Source organism: Homo sapiens, chromosome 1 (genome assembly GCF_000001405.40).
Source record: "Homo sapiens chromosome 1, GRCh38.p14 Primary Assembly".
Taxonomy (NCBI): Eukaryota; Metazoa; Chordata; class Mammalia; order Primates; family Hominidae; genus Homo; species Homo sapiens.
This window is the reverse complement of record NC_000001.11, coordinates 230,311,985-230,331,592: the sequence shown is the minus strand read 5'-3', so window position 1 is coordinate 230,331,592 and position 19,608 is coordinate 230,311,985. Positions and strand designations below refer to the sequence as shown.

Below are 19,608 nucleotides of genomic sequence, written 5' to 3'. Positions count from 1 at the left end.
AGGAAAAGAAAGGCTTGGAATTGGCCTTGCAAGCTGAAGGCTAGAGTTTGGGTTGAACTTCCAGACTCCAGTGATGAGGGTCTTGGTGCAGGACGAGGGAATTTCCAGGGAACATGTTTGAGAGTCAGGGGCAGGAACTGCTTCCTACCAAATTATTTTGTTTATTTATTTATTTTTGGGACAGGGTGTTGCTCTGTCGCCCAGGCTGGAGTGCAGTGGTGCTATCATAGCTCACTGCAGCCTTGAATTCCTGAGCACAAACAAATCTCCCACCTCAGCCTCCCAAGTAGCTTGGACTACAGGTGCATACCGCTGCGCCCGGCTAATGTTTTTTTGTATTTTTTGTGAGACAGGGTCTCACTATGTTGCCCAGGCTGGTCTCAAACTCCTGGCCTCAAGTGATCCTCTAGCCTCAGCCTCCCAAAGTGCTGGGTGTACAGGCATGAGCCACCATGCCCAGCCCCACCAAATTATTTTAAGTGATGACCTCTGAAAAGGTATCTCAAGGCAGGACATCACATTCATCTGAGCTCAGTGAAAGCAGATAATGAAGAGAAAAGAATGAGGCTGGAGAGGTTCAAAATCCTCTCCAGGATTTAAGATGACAAATGTTAAAAGGCTAATTTTAAGGGTTGGAGCTCTTAAAGCAGACACCAAAGGAGCATGTAAGGAGGATATTGATGGGCAATTGATTTTTAAATCTGTTGAAATTTAGTGTTCATGTTTAATGTACTTACAATTTCTGGATCCAAAGTATTCTATTTTACATCATAAAGTTCAGAATCCTAGCGTCCCTTAAAAATCCCAAGGAATGACCACAGCATCACTGTAGCCCCCCTCCCCACTCCAGGGACCCTGGTCCCCTCCCCAGTACCTCTAGAAAGCACTCCCAGGGAAGTTCACACTTGCTCAGTGAGCACTTCAGGTGGGTGCTTCAGGTGGGCACAGACCTGGGTGTAGCTGGAATGAGTGGGAAATTGCCTGGGGGAAGGTAAAGTTCATAGCTGCTCCTCCCCAGGAAATCTGTTTTGGGGTTCACATCTTAGAGTTCTTTTTTGCATGAAGAGAGATCGTCTTCTGTACCTAGTATTCCTTCCCTTTGGATGTGCCATAATTTCTTCAGCCAGTGCCCTTATCAATGATCCACTTTTTCTCAGTGTTAATAATGATACAGTGATGTCTTCATACATAAACATTTGGGCACATCTTTGATCATTTCCTCTGGGTAAATCCAAAAGCGGAAGTGCTGGGTCAAAGGGTGGGACGATGTCAAGGTTTCTGGTGATGGGTTGCCGCAGGCTGTACTTCTCTACCATCGCAGCGGGCACAGATGCCTCCAGCTTTACCGGCACTACTTTTTTATTTGTCATTCTGACAGGTGAAGATGCCCCCAGATTTTAAATATCAATCACTCTGACTGCTGGAGAGGTTGCACATCTCTCCATGTGTTGATTGGCTAATTTCGAGTGATTTTTTTTATGTTCCTTACAATTTTCCTTTTGAGATATTTGTCACGTTCTCATTCACTTGAAAGGAAGTTTTCTGCCTATAGCACATTGTTTTCTGTATTTCATTTCCTTTTGTTTTTATTTGTGATTAGTATTATTTAACATAAAAAAAAGTTTTCATTTCTTCATAGGCGGATCTGTTGATACCTTCTCTGCTCTCATGCTTTAGGTCTCTGCTCTGTCCCAAGGCCAGATAAGTATAAGTTCACCTGGCTGTTTTATGGTGTAATTTTGTGCTCTTTACCATAATCCACTTCAAATTTATTTTGACGCATGGCATCAAGTGGGCCTCTACTATCTTGTTGTTGTTTAGTGGCCAGGCTGGGTTGACCCAGCAGCTGCACCTCTGTGCCTAAACCATTTATTGAATAATTCATCCTTTTCCTATTTATTTTAAATCTCATTCAGGGCCAGGTGTGGTGGCTCATGCCTATAATCTGAGCTACTCAAGAGGCTGAGGCAGGAGAATCTCTTGAACCTGGGAGACAGAGGTTGCAGTGAGCCGAGATTGTGCCACTGCACTCCAGCCTGGCCGACAGAGCAAGACTCTGTCTCAAATATATATGTATATATCAGATGATAAACTGAAGCATCATATATTCTAGAGACTACTTCTCAGCTCTATCTTATATTCTGTTCTACTATGACCATATATACTCTGGTTGTAGTTGAGCAGAATTTCCAATTTTAGGAAATATGTAACTAGGTATGAACATTTTAGGAATTGGTTAATTTTTTTTTACTCCAGATTCTAGGGAATCATGAACCTTTTTGTCACAGAGTATGAGCATATGTACAGGCTTTTTAAAAAGTTAAATGCAGGCCAGTCACAATGGCTTATGCCCATAATCCCAGCACTTTTGGAGGCCAAGTTGGGAGGATCACTTGAGTCCAGGAGTTTGAGACCAGTCTGAGCAACATGGCAGGACCCCATCTATGCAAAAAATACCACCTCCCCCCCCAAAAAAAAATTAGCTGGGCATGGCGTAGCTGTAGTAGTCCAAGCTACTGGGGGGTGGGGGTTGGTGGGGCACTGAGGCAGGAGGATCACTTGAGCCCAGGAGGTAGAGGCTGCAGTGAGCCAAGATCGTGACACTGCACTTCAGTCTGAGCAACAGAGTGAGACTGTCTCAAGAAAAAAAAAAAATGTTAAATGCTGTCACATGTCAAGGGATATTCCCATTGTGAACCAAACCCTTTTGCTTTTCTTTCGAAATCCACCTTGGGTCTGTCATCTTCCTCCTGGAGTCTGCCCATTTAGGATTCACATTCACTAAGACTAATGGGAAGGCAGAATGTCTGCATATGAATATGAGTCAGGTCTTGATTCATTCACTTAAATTTGCAGAAAGGTAGCAGGAATGTCAGTCAAGCCACTAACAGCCGAGGAAGGTGCTAAGACAGAACAACTGTTAGAATGGGAAGACAGGGCCATGTCGATCTTGAACATCACAGAGACAGACATGGAGAAGATAGACATGTGTGCAGATCCATATAGCTCTGAATACAGCGTCCACCACGAATCTGTGCATGACATACACGCCATTCTCAGTGATTCACTCAGTCAAGACAGTCACTATCAGATTCCCTCTTGCTAATATTGCCAATGTTAGCAATCAGAAGATGTCACAGGACAGCTGCCTTGCCTTTTTCAGCTGGGGTACTACCTCAGAATCCAAAATATCATAGGGAGAGGAGGGTGATCTGGTTTATAAACTGGGGAAATGCTCAAGGAGAGGATGCAGATCTGGTGTGGAAACAGCTCAGTTTCAAGCTGAAACCCCCATGTTAAATTTAAAATTATGAAAAAGAATGGGAAAGAAATGAAGAGTTAAAGAAGGTCTCCCATGTCCCGTGGTGAGGTAGATTGGGACAGTGACAGTCCAGGAGCCTCTGCTCTTATTGGGCTGAAATCAGGAGGTGAAAAGCTGCAAGGTCGGTGGCTATGGGGACGGGTCTATGGGAAACCCCGAGATCTTCGGAGAGCGGCCATGACTCACCGGAGACACTAATGACTCAGAGCGGGGCATCCTGAGTTCCGGGAAAAGAACTAAGGGGATTTGCATTTCTTTATAGGGATGGTCTCACCTGCTCACATCCAAGTGGAACCCTACAGAGGCCAGAGCCTCCTGTGACCCAGAGAAGGTTGTCATTGGAGGTCAGGCAAATCAAAACATAGCTGGAGATGGGAGACCTGCACGGGCCACATGCTGTGGCCCCAAGTGTGACAAGGGGTTACTCCTACTCGGTCTTGGAGGCAGAGGCAGCTGAGATAAGGGGCCGGGGACAGGAATCCTCAGGAGGGGCGTTGGAGAGAGACGGCAGTCCTTGGGCACTGCAGGCCCGCACGCCCTCCCTGGCGCCTGGTGCGCTGAGCCCTGGAGAACGCCCCCTCTGCAGGCTCCCGACAGCAGAACATCTCTCAGGAGGAGGGGCTCCATAAGCAAGTGAAGGAGGCCATAGTCTTCCGGCCAGGAGGAAGCTCCAGTGTGGGGGCCGCCATGGTTTTCTGGCCCTTGGATAGCTTTAGGAAACTCATTGCCAGGGCCCCTTCCCCGGTCCTGCGTCTCTAGGGCAGGCCTTGGCAGCTCAATTTCCCACAAGCTGGCCAGTGTTTCTTCCATGCGAAATGCTGCTGTTTCTGAGGAAAGAAGGAAAGAGTCCGGCTCAGTGTATGTAAGCAGATCTGCGCGACCCTGGTCTCCTCAGCCACGGTCCCTCAGTGAGAGTTGTGGGGGTGGGAGGGGGCTGGCCCCAGATGAAGCTCCTGTGGACCTGCAAAGGACATGCCCGTTTGACTTTGACCTTGTCCATTTAAGTATTGCTGAAATTTCACAATCCTGTGAGCCAATGCCTTAAAAAAAAAAATACAGAAAAATGGCACTGTGCCCATAGTCCCTTGCTGCTGTGAGGGAAGGCCAGTTCAAGGAAACAGTAGGTCAACTCCAGCCACTCTCGAATGGCCGCGGCTGTTAGGAAGAAGGCGTCCGTCTCATCTTCCGTGTTGTCTGCGGTGGGTGGCGCATAGGGCAGGCCTGGGAAGCCAGAATGACCAGCAGTGGCTTGGCAGCGGGGCAAGGAGGGCTCATGGGTCTCCGTGTGCTTCTCAGGCCCTGCTGGTAGGATTTGTTCATCTTGCCATGACCTTTGCGGTGCCCCTGGGATGCATTCCCAGTTGTACTTAGTAGAGGAAAAGGTGTTTGAGGGTGTAGGGCCCCCAAAGTTCGAGGAGGCATGAAAGGACGGAGCTGGGGGATGGGAGGGTTGAAAAGGACAACCTCCTCCTTCTTCTGAGCCTCTAATTCCTTTTGGCTGCGCGTGGAGGCTCGCACATGTAATCCCAGAGTTTTGGGAGGCCCAGGTAGAGGATCACATAAGGCCAGGAGTTTGAGACCAGCCTAGGCAACATGGTGAGACCTAGGCAACATGGTGAGTCTCTGTTTTAAAAAATTGTTTTAATTAGCTGGGCATGGTGGCATGTACCTGTGATCCCAGCTCCTTGGGTGGCTGAGGTGGGAGTATCCCTTGAGCCCAGGAATTTTAGGCTGCAGTGAGCTATGATCATGACACTGCACTTCAGCCTGAGTGACAGAGCAAGACCTCATATCTAAAAAAATAATGATAATAATTCCACCCTTTTGCTTTTTTATTTTTTATTTCATTTTGAGATGGAGTTTCGCTCTTGTCACCCAGGCTGGAATACAATGGCAGCGATCTCAGCAAACCGCAACCTCGGCCTCCCAGTTTCAAGTGATTCTCCTGCCTCAGGCTCCTGAGTAGCTGGAATTACAGGCGCCTGCCACCGTGCCCAGCTAACTTTTGTATTTTTAGTAGAGATGGGGTTTTGCCATGTTGGCCAGGCTAATCTCAAACTACTGACCTCAGGTGATCCCCCCGCCTTGGCCTCCCAAAGTGCTGGGGTTACAGGCGTGAGCCACCGTGCGCAGCCTCCTTTTGCTTTTTTAAATTGACAAACAATAATTACACATTTTCACGGGGCACATAGTGATGTTCTGCTACATATAATGTATGGAGATCAGATCAGGGTAATTAGCATATCCATCATCTCACACACTTATCGGGGGATTTATTAAAGGATGCAAAACCACAGCCTAGATGGGAGGAGTGAGGTCTAGTGCTCTGTGCGGGGTGACTCTGCAGTCACCCTGTGTGGGGTGACGAGTTGCCGACACCCCTTGGCTTTGATGAAGGCAGGTGGAAAGGGCTCCATGGTGCTGTCTGACCTCAGCCACCACCTCTTCTTCCTAGCATCCCTCACCCAGCCTGGCAGAAGGGGGAGGGAGGGAGGAGTGAGCCCTGTCTCCGCTTTCACTCTTTCAAGGCCCAGTCGGATGCAGCACCCTTCCCCATGCTGCTTAGAGCCCCTTCAGGCCTGCCAGGATCCTAGAGGCCTGTAAACCCCATGACTTGGGGTGCTGTGTCTGGGCCAGCGCATACCATGGCACTCACCTGACTGATGCTTTCCTCAATCCCTCTGAAGCACCTGGTGGTTGGTGCTGATTGTTCTTCTTCAACTCTTCCCTCCCCTCCTCCTCCTCTGCTCATTATTAAGTTGGGAGCAGCTAAGCTGGACGAAGATAGGCACATTTATAAAGTGGCATTAGGAGGAGGTGCTGAGGAAGGGGCTTATCTTGTCTCTCGCCTTCAGGAGTCATCATCAAAAGGAAGAGTGGGGAGATCCCATGCCCCTTGGCCGTGGAGGCGTTTGCCGCTCACCTGAGCTACATCTGCAGATACGATGACAAATACAGCAAGTAAGTGGCTGGGCACCTCCATGACAGAAGGGCTCTCATAGTTGTGCCGTCTCGGAAGAGATGTAATGGCAGATGATCACTAGTTTCCCCAGTGTAAGAACTGCAGGATGAAGACCCTGGGAGGTAAGATCCTGCCCTCAGCCTGGGCTTCTGGGCCTCGCCTGTGCACACATGGCTTTACCTAGAAGTCCTCTGCCCAGGTACTCTGTGTCCTCCACTCTCCCAATGCTGGGTTCACATTCCCTGTGCCCAGAGGCACCCTTTCCTTTGCTTACTGAACTGAACTGTCCCTCAGCAGTGAGCTCAAACTCCAGCCGTTGGCATCGCTTGCCCCAGTCCTCTATTCTGAATTGCTGTCCTCCTTCCCCACACCCCTAACACACTGGGCATCAGCTCGGGCACTTCTACCCCAAGTCACATGTGTTCTAGCACGGGTGCCTTAATTTTCTCAAATATGGATGCCTATTTAGATCACCAGATGTGGTCTCATGTTCAATATACACATAGTATGCATAGTTTACACACAGCATAGACAAGATCCACAATGTGCGGACGTCCAGACACCCACGATGCCACCCCTGACCTCGTGCCATTATAGCCACCATGATGGGAACTCAAAAAATGACGACTATTGAACATTGAAACTATTAAATTACTGGGATTGAGCCTTACCACTTAGAACAGGGTTGGGCTAACTCAAAATCAGATATTGACTGAACCTTCTTTGAGGGTAACCTGTACTTCCTGGCCTTTTTCATGATAAAGAGGGAAAAACAAGGACCTGGTTCTCTCTGGAAAACTCAGCCTGTGTGTGAAAGGTAGTCCCACTCCTTGGGGATTCATTGAACAAGTCTTTGTTGAACGCCCACTATGTGCTCAGCACCTTACTAAATTCCATGAGGTTGTTACAAAGACATTGGCATTCAGTTCACTGAGCACCTACTATGTACTGGCACCTTGCTGTGTTCTATGAGGTTGTTCTAAAGCAGCTGGCATTTGTGGGGTAGATGTCTGTCGTGCCTGCTCTGTGCTGGGCATTTCAGACATAGTGAGATATTGAGGATACCGATCCTCCCATACTTTATACAGGGTGCAGAGGCAAACTCACAAATGGAGAAGACAGTGCAGTGAGTGAGGCCTGAGGCTAGTGCTCCCAAGAAGGCCAGTGTTCTCAGGGTCTGGGTGGGCTTCCCGGAGGGGTGACCTGTGTGCCTTCATCTGCAGGGATGGTGGGGATGGCAAAGGTACATTCGGGAGCAGGGGAATGCCCTGCAGGGGCCTGGAGCTGAGGAAGAGCTTGGCCTTGGGGGAGTGTCAGCTGCACAGCACGTACAGAGCACAGCTTTGCAAGGAGCATTCAGCAAGCAGGGAAGCTGGAGAGGCTGGCAGGCGCCTGTCCACTCCGGGGCTGTGCGCCACCCCAGCACACCTGGCACCTGGCTTTCAGGGTCTACTCCAGCAACCTTGTTGTTTTCATTTCCTTGGTCTTAAATGAAGTTCACTGTGACAAAACCCCCAGCTGGAACTCACCTAACATCCCAAGCCTGACTCCTGCCCCCATAGCCCTCCTGCTTCTGTCGGGGGCGAACCTGCAGCGTCTCACGGGCTGTGGTGAGGGGGGGCCTTTGGGATGCATCTCCGGGTGCCATGAACCATCGGGTCAGCCGTTCTTATTCCCTCTGTCCTCAGGTATTTCATTTCTCATAAACCAAACAAGACCTGGCAGCAGGTGTTCTGGTTCGCCATCAGCATCGCCATCAACAATGCCTACATCCTGTACAAAATGTCAGACGCCTACCACGTGAAGAGGTACAGCCGGGCGCAGTTTGGAGAGAGACTCGTCAGAGAGCTGCTGGGCTTGGAGGATGCCTCTCCGACCCACTGATGCTGGGGGCGCAGGACTCGGTCAAGGGAGGGGCAAGAGGAGGAGGAGAGCCTGCCGTTCCAACTTGCCCATCAGAGACCCGGACACGGCCTGGTGTGTGGCTTGCTGCCTGGGAGGGATGCACAGGGCCTCTGGAGGGACAGGATGGACCTGGTCAGAGGACGGTTGCTGTCCTCATTTGCATTCCAAGAAGAGCATGTCCTCCCTCGAGAAACAGTGCCGCCGGTGTGATGAGCACTTACACCCACGTTCTCAAGGGCAGATTCTCTCATGACATCCGTGGAGCTTGCGAGGCAGCGTGGACTGGTGACTGTGAAGGAAGGCCCCCGTGGTAGAATGAGCTGGAGCACGCTCTAAGAGAGATGCCTGCTTCCTAAAGATCTACAGCAATCTGGGACGTGGTTCAAGTTCAAGACTTGAAGGAAGCAAAGACGCCCTGCATGGTTACAATGGCTCAGGTGTCAGGGGAGGCCGGAGGGTTTTCCAGCATTTGCCTCATGCCAGCACCTTTGAACCGGTCTCTTAGAAGAAGACACACATCCTGGGTGTACAGTGGTGAAATGGGGAGTGGGTGCCCATTCTGAAAAACGAGGCATTCCTGCTCATTCCCTCTGCTTAGCTGGTGGGCAGGGGAGAGAGGGAAATGCCAAAAACTTGGAGTGAAGGATGATGCTATTTTTTATTTTTAAATATATCTTCAGGTTATTTTCTTACTGTTGCTTCAGATCTAATGTAAAAGGCAGATGTCCCCTCCTCTCCACCCCCGACGCTGACCCCGGCCTCAGTCACGGCTCTTTGCATGATCACAGTTCTGTGTTCTGGCCTGTGGCAGGGCCGGGAAGGGCCGCTGGCTTCCGAACAGACGTGGTTGCTCTCCACGAGGCGCATGGGGAGCCCGCGGGCCCTAAGCTTTGTCGCAGATGTCATCATTGGCAGAATTACTTGTCTTGAAAAATAAGTAGCATTGCTGAAACACACAACCGAATTCTCTACGATGGCCATTTGCTCATTGTCTTTCCTCTGTGTGTAGTGAGTGACCCTGGCAGTGTTTGCCTGCTCAGAGTGGCCCCTCAGAACAACAGGGCTGGCCTTGGAAAAACCCCAAAACAGGACTGTGGTGACAACTCTGGTCAGGTGTGATTTGACATGAGGGCCGGAGGCGGTTGCTGACGGCAGGACTGGAGAGGCTGCGTGCCCGGCACTGGCAGCGAGGCTCGTGTGTCCCCCAGGCAGATCTGGGCACTTTCCCAACCCAGGTTTATGCGTCTCCAGGGAAGCCTCGGTGCCAGAGTGGTGGGCAGATCTGACCATCCCCACAGACCAGAAACAAGGAATTTCTGGGATTACCCAGTCCCCCTTCAACCCAGTTGATGTAACCACCTCATTTTTTACAAATACAGAATCTATTCTACTCAGGCTATGGGCCTCGTCCTCACTCAGTTATTGCGAGTGTTGCTGTCCGCATGCTCCGGGCCCCACGTGGCTCCTGTGCTCTAGATCATGGTGACTCCCCCGCCCTGTGGTTGGAATCGATGCCACGGATTGCAGGCCAAATTTCAGATCGTGTTTCCAAACACCCTTGCTGTGCCCTTTAATGGGATTGAAAGCACTTTTACCACATGGAGAAATATATTTTTAATTTGTGATGCTTTTCTACAAGGTCCACTATTTCTGAGTTTAATGTGTTTCCAACACTTAAGGAGACTCTAATGAAAGCTGATGAATTTTCTTTTCTGTCCAAACAAGTAAAATAAAAATAAAAGTCTATTTAGATGTTGATTCTCCGTTAATACGTGAATTCGTTTAAAAGGTCAGGGAACAGGCGGGGTGCGGTGGCTCATGCCTGTAATCCCAGCACTTTTGGAGGCTGAAGCGGGCGGATCGCTTGAGTCCAGGAGTTTGAGACCAGCATTGGCAACATGGCGAAAGCCCATTTCTACAAAAAATACAAGAATTAGGTGTGGTGGCACATGCCTGCAGTCCCAGCTACTTGGGAGGCTGAGGTGGGAGGATCTCTTGAGCCACTGCACTCCAGCCTGGGTGACAGAGCCAGACCCTGTATCAAGAAAAAAAACAAGGTGAAGGAACAAAAATACAGGCTACTCTTTTAAATACTTGATTTTTTTTGTTATATAATCTGGTGTGTATGATATTAACTGTTCTTGGTGTCTCAAACCACTGAGCAGTTTAAAAAAGAAATGTTTTTGAGTTTGGCTAATAGAAATACCTCTTGATGTTGCAGTTGTATGAGTGCAGTTGTATTTGAGGTGCCTGTTTCATTGAAGACACTAGCAGGCCTGCCTTCCGGCCTGGTGGTTTTCCCTCTTTTCTTCTAGTTTGTGTCGTGTGTCATTCCAGATGAGCAGGAAGAGGTGCTGTTCTGACAGGCAGTGGGTGGCTGCATTCCCCAGTCATGAGAGAATAATTGTAACATTGTAACACTCTGTTTCTAAAATGGCAGCCACCTGTTGTCTGATACATGATGGGAAAAGGCAGCTGTTGAGCCGGGTCTAGGGGAGGCTTCAGTGGCCACTTCAGGTCTCTGGAGGAATGCTGTTGACTGAGAAGAGTTTCTCTTCTCCATCCAGAAGGACAGAATAGCATGTAGGACGGACTGACAGAACCTCCAGGGACCTGGACCTTGCCTTAGAGATGTGATTCAAAGTGGCTTTTTGGAGTGACTCTAGTTGAAGTGCATCTGGTTCCAGTATCTCCCTGGGTTCAACAGCCCTCAGGTTGATTCTTGATTGGCTTTGGAGTAGCTGGCCATCCCTGGGGATGAGGAAAGAGCATCGTAAGTGGTCTTATGACAGAGGGAGCCAGCATGGCCCTGGCTGAGTATATGGGGCTGGCAAGCACCACTGCACACATGGCAAGTGAGAGCCCATTCCACTCAGATCCAGCCACTAAGCCAAGCCGATCCCCTGAGGGATGTCTCTGCTGCAGGCTCTGGAAAAAAAAGATGGAGCAATGAGCTTCCCAGCCTTATGCAAAACAAAACACCCACAAAAACTTCCAAGCTTCTCCAAAGAGAATCTGCATTTCCCTGCAACTCACAGGGAATTGAACCTGCACTGAGCTTCACGGAGTTTATGAGACCTTCCCATTACTGCAGTTGTGTTGAGCGTCCCGTGAGGTCCTTCTTAGGCAAATTTAACTTCATTGAGTGAATGTCTGTTTCTGTTTGGTGCCTACTTGATCAGGTTCCATATTCGACTTTCATTGTCTTTCCCCACACTCTGCTCCCTAAAGAGCCTCGATTTTGGCCAGGTGCGGTGGCTCACACCTGTAATCCCAGCACTTTGGGAGGCCGAGGCAGGCGGATCACAAGGCCAGGAGATTGAGACCAGCCTGGCCAATATGGTGAAACCCCATCTCTACTAAAAATACAAAAATTAGCTGGGTGTGGTGGTGGACACCTGTAGTCCCAGCTACTCGGGAGGCTAAGCAGGAGAATATCTTGAATCCGGGAAGCAGAGGCTGCAGTGAGCCAAGATCGCACCACTGCACTCCAGCCTGGGTGACAGAGCGAGACTCCAACCCCCACCCCGCCACAAAAAAAAAAAAAAAAAAAAAGCCTCGAGTTTGAACAACGTCTTCCCGTGGTCCATGGGACATTATACTAGGGACATCTTTCAAAAGTCAGGCAAGTCATATGGAAAAGTCTTGGTGGCTGGGTCATTCTGAGCAAACACATCCAGTACTGACTAAATCAGATGAGGCTTGGTCACCAAAATTGAGTTAACTCTGCTGCGTGCAAGAAGCAAGAAGATTGCAGGTCCCCAGGACAGAGCCTGGAAGGTTCTGAATCCTTCCTGTGTGGCCCGTGTGTCACCATCCTCCCCAGGGACCCAGGCTCAGCCCCCCCAACAGTGAGGGGGGGTCACCAAGCATCAGGCTGAGAGGAAGCAGGGCAAACCCGGGAGGGCCATGGGGCCTTGCAACTACGCAAGCCTCACACATTCTCCTCCAGTCTGCATTCATGGCAAAAAAAAAACATTTCCCCACTTGCCTGGGATTGGGGCGAGAACAAGTCAACGACACTGATGGGGGAGAAAGGTGACCTTGGGTGTGGTACCTCCCAGATCTGTCTCCTGCATCCTCGCAGGTGCTGTGTTTGAAAGGTATGACAGCGGTGGCTAACAGGCAGGCACACTTCCAGGCGGCTTGGGGTGGCCCTTCTGCCCCAGAGCCTTACTCCTCACAGGGATCCCTGTGGGTTAGGCATGGACTGTCACCACGCCCAGATGGAGTGGTGCAATGGTTCGCCCAGGTAAGCAGACCCGGGTTTGCCTGACGCAGGAGGCCGCGTCCTAACTGCTGTGGGCACTGGCTGTCCTGATTCATCACGAGGACGGGGGATTTTATCCCTGACTTACCTGACAACTTTGTGGGGGATTTTCTCCTTTCCATATCCAATCCTCTCTGCTGATCCGAATACTGAAAACAATCATTATGAGATCCGGGACATCACCCTCCCCCTGGGTCCTTTTCTTGTCCTAGATGGAGATGGGTGTTTTGGAGCTTAACAACTACTGAAGCTGAAGTTAGCCTGGTAGGGAGCCACTATTCTGGGGGGCATTTGGACAGGGCAAGCCCTTGGCCACACCAGACCCTGAGCCAGAAAGAACCATAGCGATTTCCTCACCCAGATGGCCCCAGCTCACAGTATGGGGAGAGTGGGATGGGGTGGGGGAGTGGAGCCAGCTGTGGGGTCTCATCAGAGTGCCCTGGGATCTAGGCCAGAGGCGCCGTCTTCACCCACATGCCAGCTTTGTGGTTCTGGTCCCTCTTCCTTAAGCGAGGGCTTGCCAAGCTTTGGCTGTGGAAAGCCTTAGCCTTGTGTAGTGGGAGTTCCAAACGAAAGAAGTCCCCAGAAGTTCACAAGGTAGTGGCCAGGGAAAGTGTCCCCAGTGCCCCCTCCCCACCGGTGGCCTCTGCAGCTTGCTTTGGAAAACAGTTCTGTCTGTGAAGAAATCTCTCCTGTTACGGCCCTGTGTCAGTCAATGCGGGCTTGGCTGTCTGCCCAAATACCTTCCGTTCTTATCAGGAACATGACTGAGGCTTCTCACTTTTGACTCCATCACTTAATCCCTTTTTCTCCGTGGCTTCTGTGTGTCTCATCTTCGAGAATATTTCTCAGCCTTCTTTGCAGGTATGTTATTCTCTCCCAATAAGAAATAAAGAGTATCAGGTACCAAAGTGGCACTTAGAGCTGTTGCCATAAAATAGCACCAGAGAGTAAGCATGCCCTCTGGCCACGCAGCTCGCTGCCATTTAGCCATCTCTGTGTCCCTCCCTCCCTGGGGTGCCCAGTGCGCACCCCAGTTCTCCAGCAGCCCAGGCACATTCTCCTAGCTCTGACCCCTGTCTGGTGGGGGCCGGGCAGCCTCTCTTGAGTGTAGGGCGGTGGTGCTGGCGCTGGTGGCAGCTCTGTGTGAACTGTGTTCCGGGGAGGGTGGGGCACCTTCACCCTTCCGTGTATACCCATGTATACACGGTCGTAATGAGGAGACTCCTGCGGGAGACTTGATTGTGCGCTCCATGTCACTAGCTACTCTACAAGCAGATACTATTCTTCAGGTTTTTTCCTTAGTTGCCTGGAAGCTTGACCTTGTGTGCATGTATTTGGAGATGAAAACAGAAAGGGCGGGGAGGACATCGGCTTGTGTGAAAGACCTAGGAAGACGATGGAGGAGTGTGTGCGGCTTCCCTCACGTGTCAAGCCTCCTGGCTCCCTCAGGTGGAAGGGGCACTTTATGGCCAAGGAAATTCAGTGAGGAGTGAAGGGTGAGGCTGAGCCCGCCAGATAAATCAGCCTCGGCCCTCCCCTCCCCAAGGGTCAGCCCCCGGCAGCGCACCTCTGTTCTTGGTGCGTCTCGCTAGTCTTTGATTCATTCTTCTGCCGTCTTCACCCAAGCCTCGCTGGACTAAAGAGTGACAGTTAATGCACATGGAGCATTTCTGTTCCAGCAGGTCACGTCTCCCTGTATGGTTCCTTTGCTGAGTCCTCAGCATTGCCCTGGGAGCTGACAACCATCGGTCCCCCTTTTGTGATGGGAAAGTGACACTCTGAGAGCCGTGGTGACTCTACAGGGTGTGGAGCCAGGTTGACCCTCACTCTGTCTGCTCCAGGGCTTCCTGGTTCTCAGCCACTGCTGCTTCTGAACTGCTACAGGCCAGGCATTGTGCTAAGAACTGGGCACGTGTTACCCCAACGTGGTCTGTGCCCTTGAGGGTGCCATGACTGAAACACGTTGGGGGCACAGAGCAGGCTGATTCTCCGCCGAAAGAAGGCTCCAGCCAGAGGCCGAGACCCCGTGTGGGGGAGGTGGCAGTCACCATTGCTGCTGGACTCAGCAACCCCCAGACCCTCCACCTTGCTTGGCAGGCATCACATGCACCTGGCTTAGCACATCCCTGCAAACACAAGAGTCTGAGCCTCCTCAAGAGGCTGCAGTCACACTGCATTTGACCAGGACTTGCCAACCTGCAACTTGCCCTGAGAGCCAGGTATGCGTGTGTGTATCTGGGGAGCACGCCCCAAACATGAGCAGGGACGGTGTTCCCAGCTATCCGAGAGGTCATGCCCAAGCCAAAAGGAAGGCTCTAGCTCTTAAACATGAATAAGTTTATTCCTTTCATTTCCACAGTGTCTTATGCTTGCTTCTGTTTTCTCCAAGGAAGTATGGTGCCCACCTACTCCTCCAGCCTGACGATCCATGTGAGGGTTCCTTGTTCCCAGCCCAATTCTCATGTCCCACCTTTCTCCACTAAGAAACAGCCAAATTTTGGCAAGAGTCGTGGTAGGAAAAAAAAACAATAATTGGGCAGATGAGGATTTTTCACTTTTTGACTAGTTCTTTCTCTAGACTTTCCTGTCTTTTTAAAACTTCTAGTTTCCCCCTTGAGCGCTCCCTCCCAGTGGGTAGACCACGGAAGGAATGAACAGGGGATGGAAGCAGGGGATGCAGTCCCTATTATTTCAATAGATTGGAAAGATGGGCCCAGAACAATTGCGTACGGTGTTCAGTGTAAATTGAAGATCTGGAGTTGCAGGATTGTTGAGGCAATTTTTAGTTGCTTTGCTCCATCTAAACACAAGGCCATAGGATAGTGTGACTTTGTAGCTTCATCACCGTATCCACATCAGAAGTACAATGTCCACTTAATACATATATACACATATGTACGTATACACATATACACATGTGTACATATGTATGTATACACATGCACATGTGTACGTATGTATGTATACACATACATATATGTGTACACATATACATATGTATGTATACACATAGATATATGTGTACACATAAACATATGTATGTATACACATAAACATGTATGTATACACATACATATATGTGTACACATATACTTATGTATGTATACACATACATATATGTGTACACATATACTTATGTATGTATACACATACATATATGTGTACACATATACTTATGTATGTATACACATACATATATGTGTACACATATACACATATACATATATGTGTACACATAAATATGTATGTATCCATATATGTATATATATACACATGTATACAGATATGCATCTATATGTATACCTCTATATGTATGCACATATACATATATGTATACATATATACATATATGCATACATCTATAATATATGTATGTGTATATATACACATACAGTGTCCACTTAATATATATATCTATCTTGTGTGTATGTGTGTGTAAATATACACACACATACACACACGATAAAATACAGAGTCTACCACATGATGAGCCTCTGCTAGGTCCTTAGCAATCAAACCACATGTCCAGTCCTGGCCCCCATTCTACAACTAAACACATGGGCCAGTTTAGGGGTCCAGGAGGGCAAGAATGGTGGGTCCACGTAGAAACCAGGTGAGGGAGGAGCAGTCCACAGGGCTGGGGTGATGGGCTGGTGAAGCAGTGTTCCAGGAGGGGAACTGCTGCTCACAGGGCTGTCCTGGTCGCCCTCGGGATACAGCCAGACTTGATCCGAGTGGCTCCCGGGGCTGAATGGGGACCGCCGGGTGCATATCCCAGGAGGCAGCCTTCAGCTCAGTGGGGAAAGCAGTTTCCAACCTTAGAGCTGCCCAACACTAGCACAGGGCACCTGAGAAAGGAGGGGCCCCTCTGCCTTTACTCTGTCTCCCACTAGAGGCAGCTGGTTCCTTCAGGGAACTCTGGTGGGGGGTGAGGGGGTGGCTGGTTCTCAGTGGGCAGGGGTGACCCTACTGGGGTCAGTGGGCTGGCAATGCTGGTCTTCACTAAGAAGAGTTGAAAATAGCCAGGAAGCTAAGCCCTGGCTCCTGGGCTCCTGGGCAGATGCTTAATTAGGAGGAAGAAGGAACCAAAATCATGAACACAACTGGCTCTCTCAGGGGGAGGCTGTCACCCTCCAAGCTCTTCTTCCCCTTCCTCAAATGGAGATTCACACTCATCCCTAGTTCAGGAGAGCCGCCATTGATGATGAGGAAATCCGTGTCAAAGAAGCTGGAAAGACTGCTATTCATTGTGAGAATTTTGTTTCCACTGCTACATTACATTGTTTCTTCTTGTTTTCCCTTCCAATTTCCAGTTAAGAATCTTTCACAGAAAATTTTTAATTTTATCACAAACTGCACAGATATCACACAGCTGCACCCCCATTTGGTGACACAAAGCATACCCTTCTGTGAAGATTTTCACTTTACGCCAAGGCATGATTGTCACTTTACGCCAAGGCAATAAATTTTTACAAATTTTGTATAACAGGAGCTGAATTCTGGGTTCTCAAATGTGAAATGTGGCAAAAAAAAAAAAAAAAAAAAAAAAGATTTAATTCAAGCATTTTGTCATGTGGTTCTTATTTCTTCAACCAAGTTTGTTTACAGTCACTGCCTTTGAAATACAGTCAAATACATCTGTTTGCTTCTCTCTGGTGGTTTTTCTTTGTGGGTGGCTGATGAGGGAGGGAGGATACAGGACAGGACGCTCATGAAAGTATGATGGGGTCTGTTGCTGGAAATGAATAGCAAGGGAGGTCGGCCAGGCCTGAGAAACCCACCGCCGGGCTCTCTGGAAGATGAAGAGGGAATGACAGGGCAGGGGGGTCTTCAGGGGGTTCAGGCCTGTGCTAACACCTTAGCTTCCTCAACCCTGCCCCCGATCCTGGGAAAAGTCAAGGGGATCCCCAAAGCGGTCTTCCTCGTCTCCCCTTCCATCTTCCCTCCACCGTCAGACTGGATTCTGCAGCCTGTAGCTGCAGCCTGTATTGGCTGCTGTTATTACCACAGCCCTAAGGGCCTCCACCATTCTCCTCGCACTCCTCAAAAGGTTCCAGAATCTGGGGTGAGCGCTCTTGTCAGAAGCTGGAACAGGAGGAAGCAATGTTCAAGAGCACTGGTGTGTGCAGAATGCCAAGGACCCCAGGAGAGCTGCAACTGCCCGCTCGTGACTGTGGACGATCACCATGTCCCCAGCTCTGCCAGCAAATACCACCCAGTCAGATGCTTTCATGATTGCAGTTCAAAACGAAAACAAAAAGGGCACGATATTGGCTTTAGCAGCGTTATCCTGACAGTCACAATGTGGACATTGTTTTTCTTACCGTAGAAAATCTCTGTATAAAATGAGATGACGGATCCCACTTTCCAAGGTTGTTTTTTTTTTTAATCACAAATGATTTTGAGGGCTGAGCACAGTGGCTCACAGCTGCAATCCCAGCAGTTTAGGAGGCCAAGGCAGGAGGACCGCTTGAGGCCAGGAGCTTGAGACCAGCCTGGGCAACATAGTGAGACCCCATATCTACAAAACAGAGAAGATTTTGAGAAGCTTGTGCTTCTCCATCTAACATAGGAATTCAAGTGTTTTTACAGCACATTATAACAAACATGCCTTGTTTTTCTACAAGCCAAAAATAATTTTCAAACACTCTTAAAATGTTAACGATTTCAAATCTTTGCAGACCCTTTAGTAAGCACTAAATTTACCTTTACTTTTGTTGTGTTTATCCCTGATGTAATGATTTATTTTATAAAATCAGAGCCTTCCCTTTACCACTATCTTTTATATGATTTCCCCTCATTTTCTTTTCCACATTTCATGGCCTCTGACTCTGTCCTTTACAAATATCTATTCCTTCTCTTTCTCCCTCCCTCCTCTTCCTCCCTCTCTTCTTCCCTTCTCCTCTTCCCCTCCCCCACATTCCTTTGCTGAGCACAGATAATCCATGTCCCCAGATGTCCCCCTCTGGATGCCCGTCCCCTAGCCCATCACCTGGCATACAGGTTCTCCAGCCTCAGGGTTCCCACGGTGCACAGGGACCTTCCCCTCTCAACGGTAGTAGGGTGAGGACATAACCTTTTGTATCCAAGACATTTTGAGGGTAGAGACATCCATAACGAGGAAAAACTCCAACAAGGAGGATTCAAAAGACCGTTTATAGATGAATAGGATAATGGGATTTAGTTTACTGATCCCAGGGCCCAGCCTTCCCTGCCACATTGACTGAATGCTGATCACATCTCCCAGTGGTGCTGGGGCGCAGTAGCTCATGCCTATAATCCCAGCACTTTGGGAAGCCAAGGCAAGAGGATCACATGGGGCCAGGAGTTCCAAACCAACCTGGGAAACATAGTGAGACCCTGTCTCTGAGAAATAGAATTTAAAAATTTAGCTGGGCTGGGTGCTGTGGCTCACACCTGTAATCCCAGCACTTTGGGAGTCTGAGGTGGGTGGATTGCTTGAGGTCAGGAGTTCAAGACCAACGTGGCCAACATGGCAAAACCCTGTCTCTACTAAAAATACAAAAATTAGCTGGGCTTGGTGGCACACGCCTGTAATCCCAGCTACTAGGGAGGCTGAGGCAGGAGAATCACTTGCAGCCGGGACGTAAAGGTTGCAGTGAGCCGAGATAGCGCCATTGCACTCCAGCCTGGGTGACAGAGCAAGACTTCGTCTCCAAAAAAAAAAAAAAAAAAAAAATTAGCTGGGCATGGTGGCATGCACCTGCAGCCTGCAGTCCCAGTTACTTGGGAGGCTGAGGCAGAGGATCGCTCAAGCCCAGAAATTCAAGGCTGCAGTGAGCACTGATTGCACCACTGCACTTCAGCTTGGGCTGAAGGATCACTTTAGCCCAGGATCACTTTAGCCCAAACAAGACGCTGTTTGTTTGAAACAATAACAACAACAACAAAAACAAACAAACAAAAAAACAGAACCATCTCCCAGGGCTGTGGGCCTTTGGGGACATGCACAGGAATACACACAAAAAAAGACAAACATGTTCTAGTTTGAGCAGAAGAATAGTACAGGGCAAGTGGACTAAGTCATTCATTCAAAACACTTTAATTGAGCTCTTCCAAATCAGTAGGCACTATGCTAAACACTAAGGGTATAAGCAAGGACAGTCTTTGCCATCAAGGGCTGTC

At 49.3% G+C, this 19,608-nt stretch overlaps 1 protein-coding gene and 1 pseudogene across 1 annotated transcript in view, besides 3 other annotated features; both read left to right on the top strand.

Moving 5' to 3' along the window:
• The window catches only part of PGBD5 (piggyBac transposable element derived 5), a 111,843-nt gene extending 94,740 nt beyond the window's left edge, over positions 1 to 17,103 (top strand). The window contains exons 6-7 of the mRNA NM_001258311.2: positions 6,178 to 6,283; positions 7,973 to 17,103. Of these exons, the coding sequence (NP_001245240.1) occupies positions 6,178 to 6,283; positions 7,973 to 8,168 (302 nt within the window). The 3' untranslated portion in view covers positions 8,169 to 17,103. The remainder of the gene's footprint in view (positions 1 to 6,177; positions 6,284 to 7,972) is intronic.
• Positions 3,664 to 3,783: an enhancer, noted in NCBI's record as "active region_2718". NCBI's record gives its function as "activates an Ori minimal core promoter by ATAC-STARR-seq in GM12878 lymphoblastoid cells {active_cell/tissue: GM12878}" and the evidence as "EXISTENCE:reporter gene assay evidence [ECO:0000049][PMID:35858748]".
• Positions 13,911 to 14,410: an enhancer, noted in NCBI's record as "H3K4me1 hESC enhancer chr1:230452929-230453428 (GRCh37/hg19 assembly coordinates)". NCBI's record gives its function as "activates a minimal SCP1, AML or CMV promoter by ChIP-STARR-seq in naive H9 embryonic stem cells {active_cell/tissue: H9 hESC(naive)}" and the evidence as "EXISTENCE:reporter gene assay evidence [ECO:0000049][PMID:30033119]".
• Positions 14,411 to 14,912: an enhancer, noted in NCBI's record as "H3K4me1 hESC enhancer chr1:230452427-230452928 (GRCh37/hg19 assembly coordinates)". NCBI's record gives its function as "activates a minimal SCP1, AML or CMV promoter by ChIP-STARR-seq in naive H9 embryonic stem cells {active_cell/tissue: H9 hESC(naive)}" and the evidence as "EXISTENCE:reporter gene assay evidence [ECO:0000049][PMID:30033119]".
• LOC124904587 (putative uncharacterized protein FLJ46204) lies at positions 14,857 to 17,103 on the top strand (annotated as a pseudogene).
• Positions 17,104 to 19,608: the final 2,505 nt, after the last annotated feature.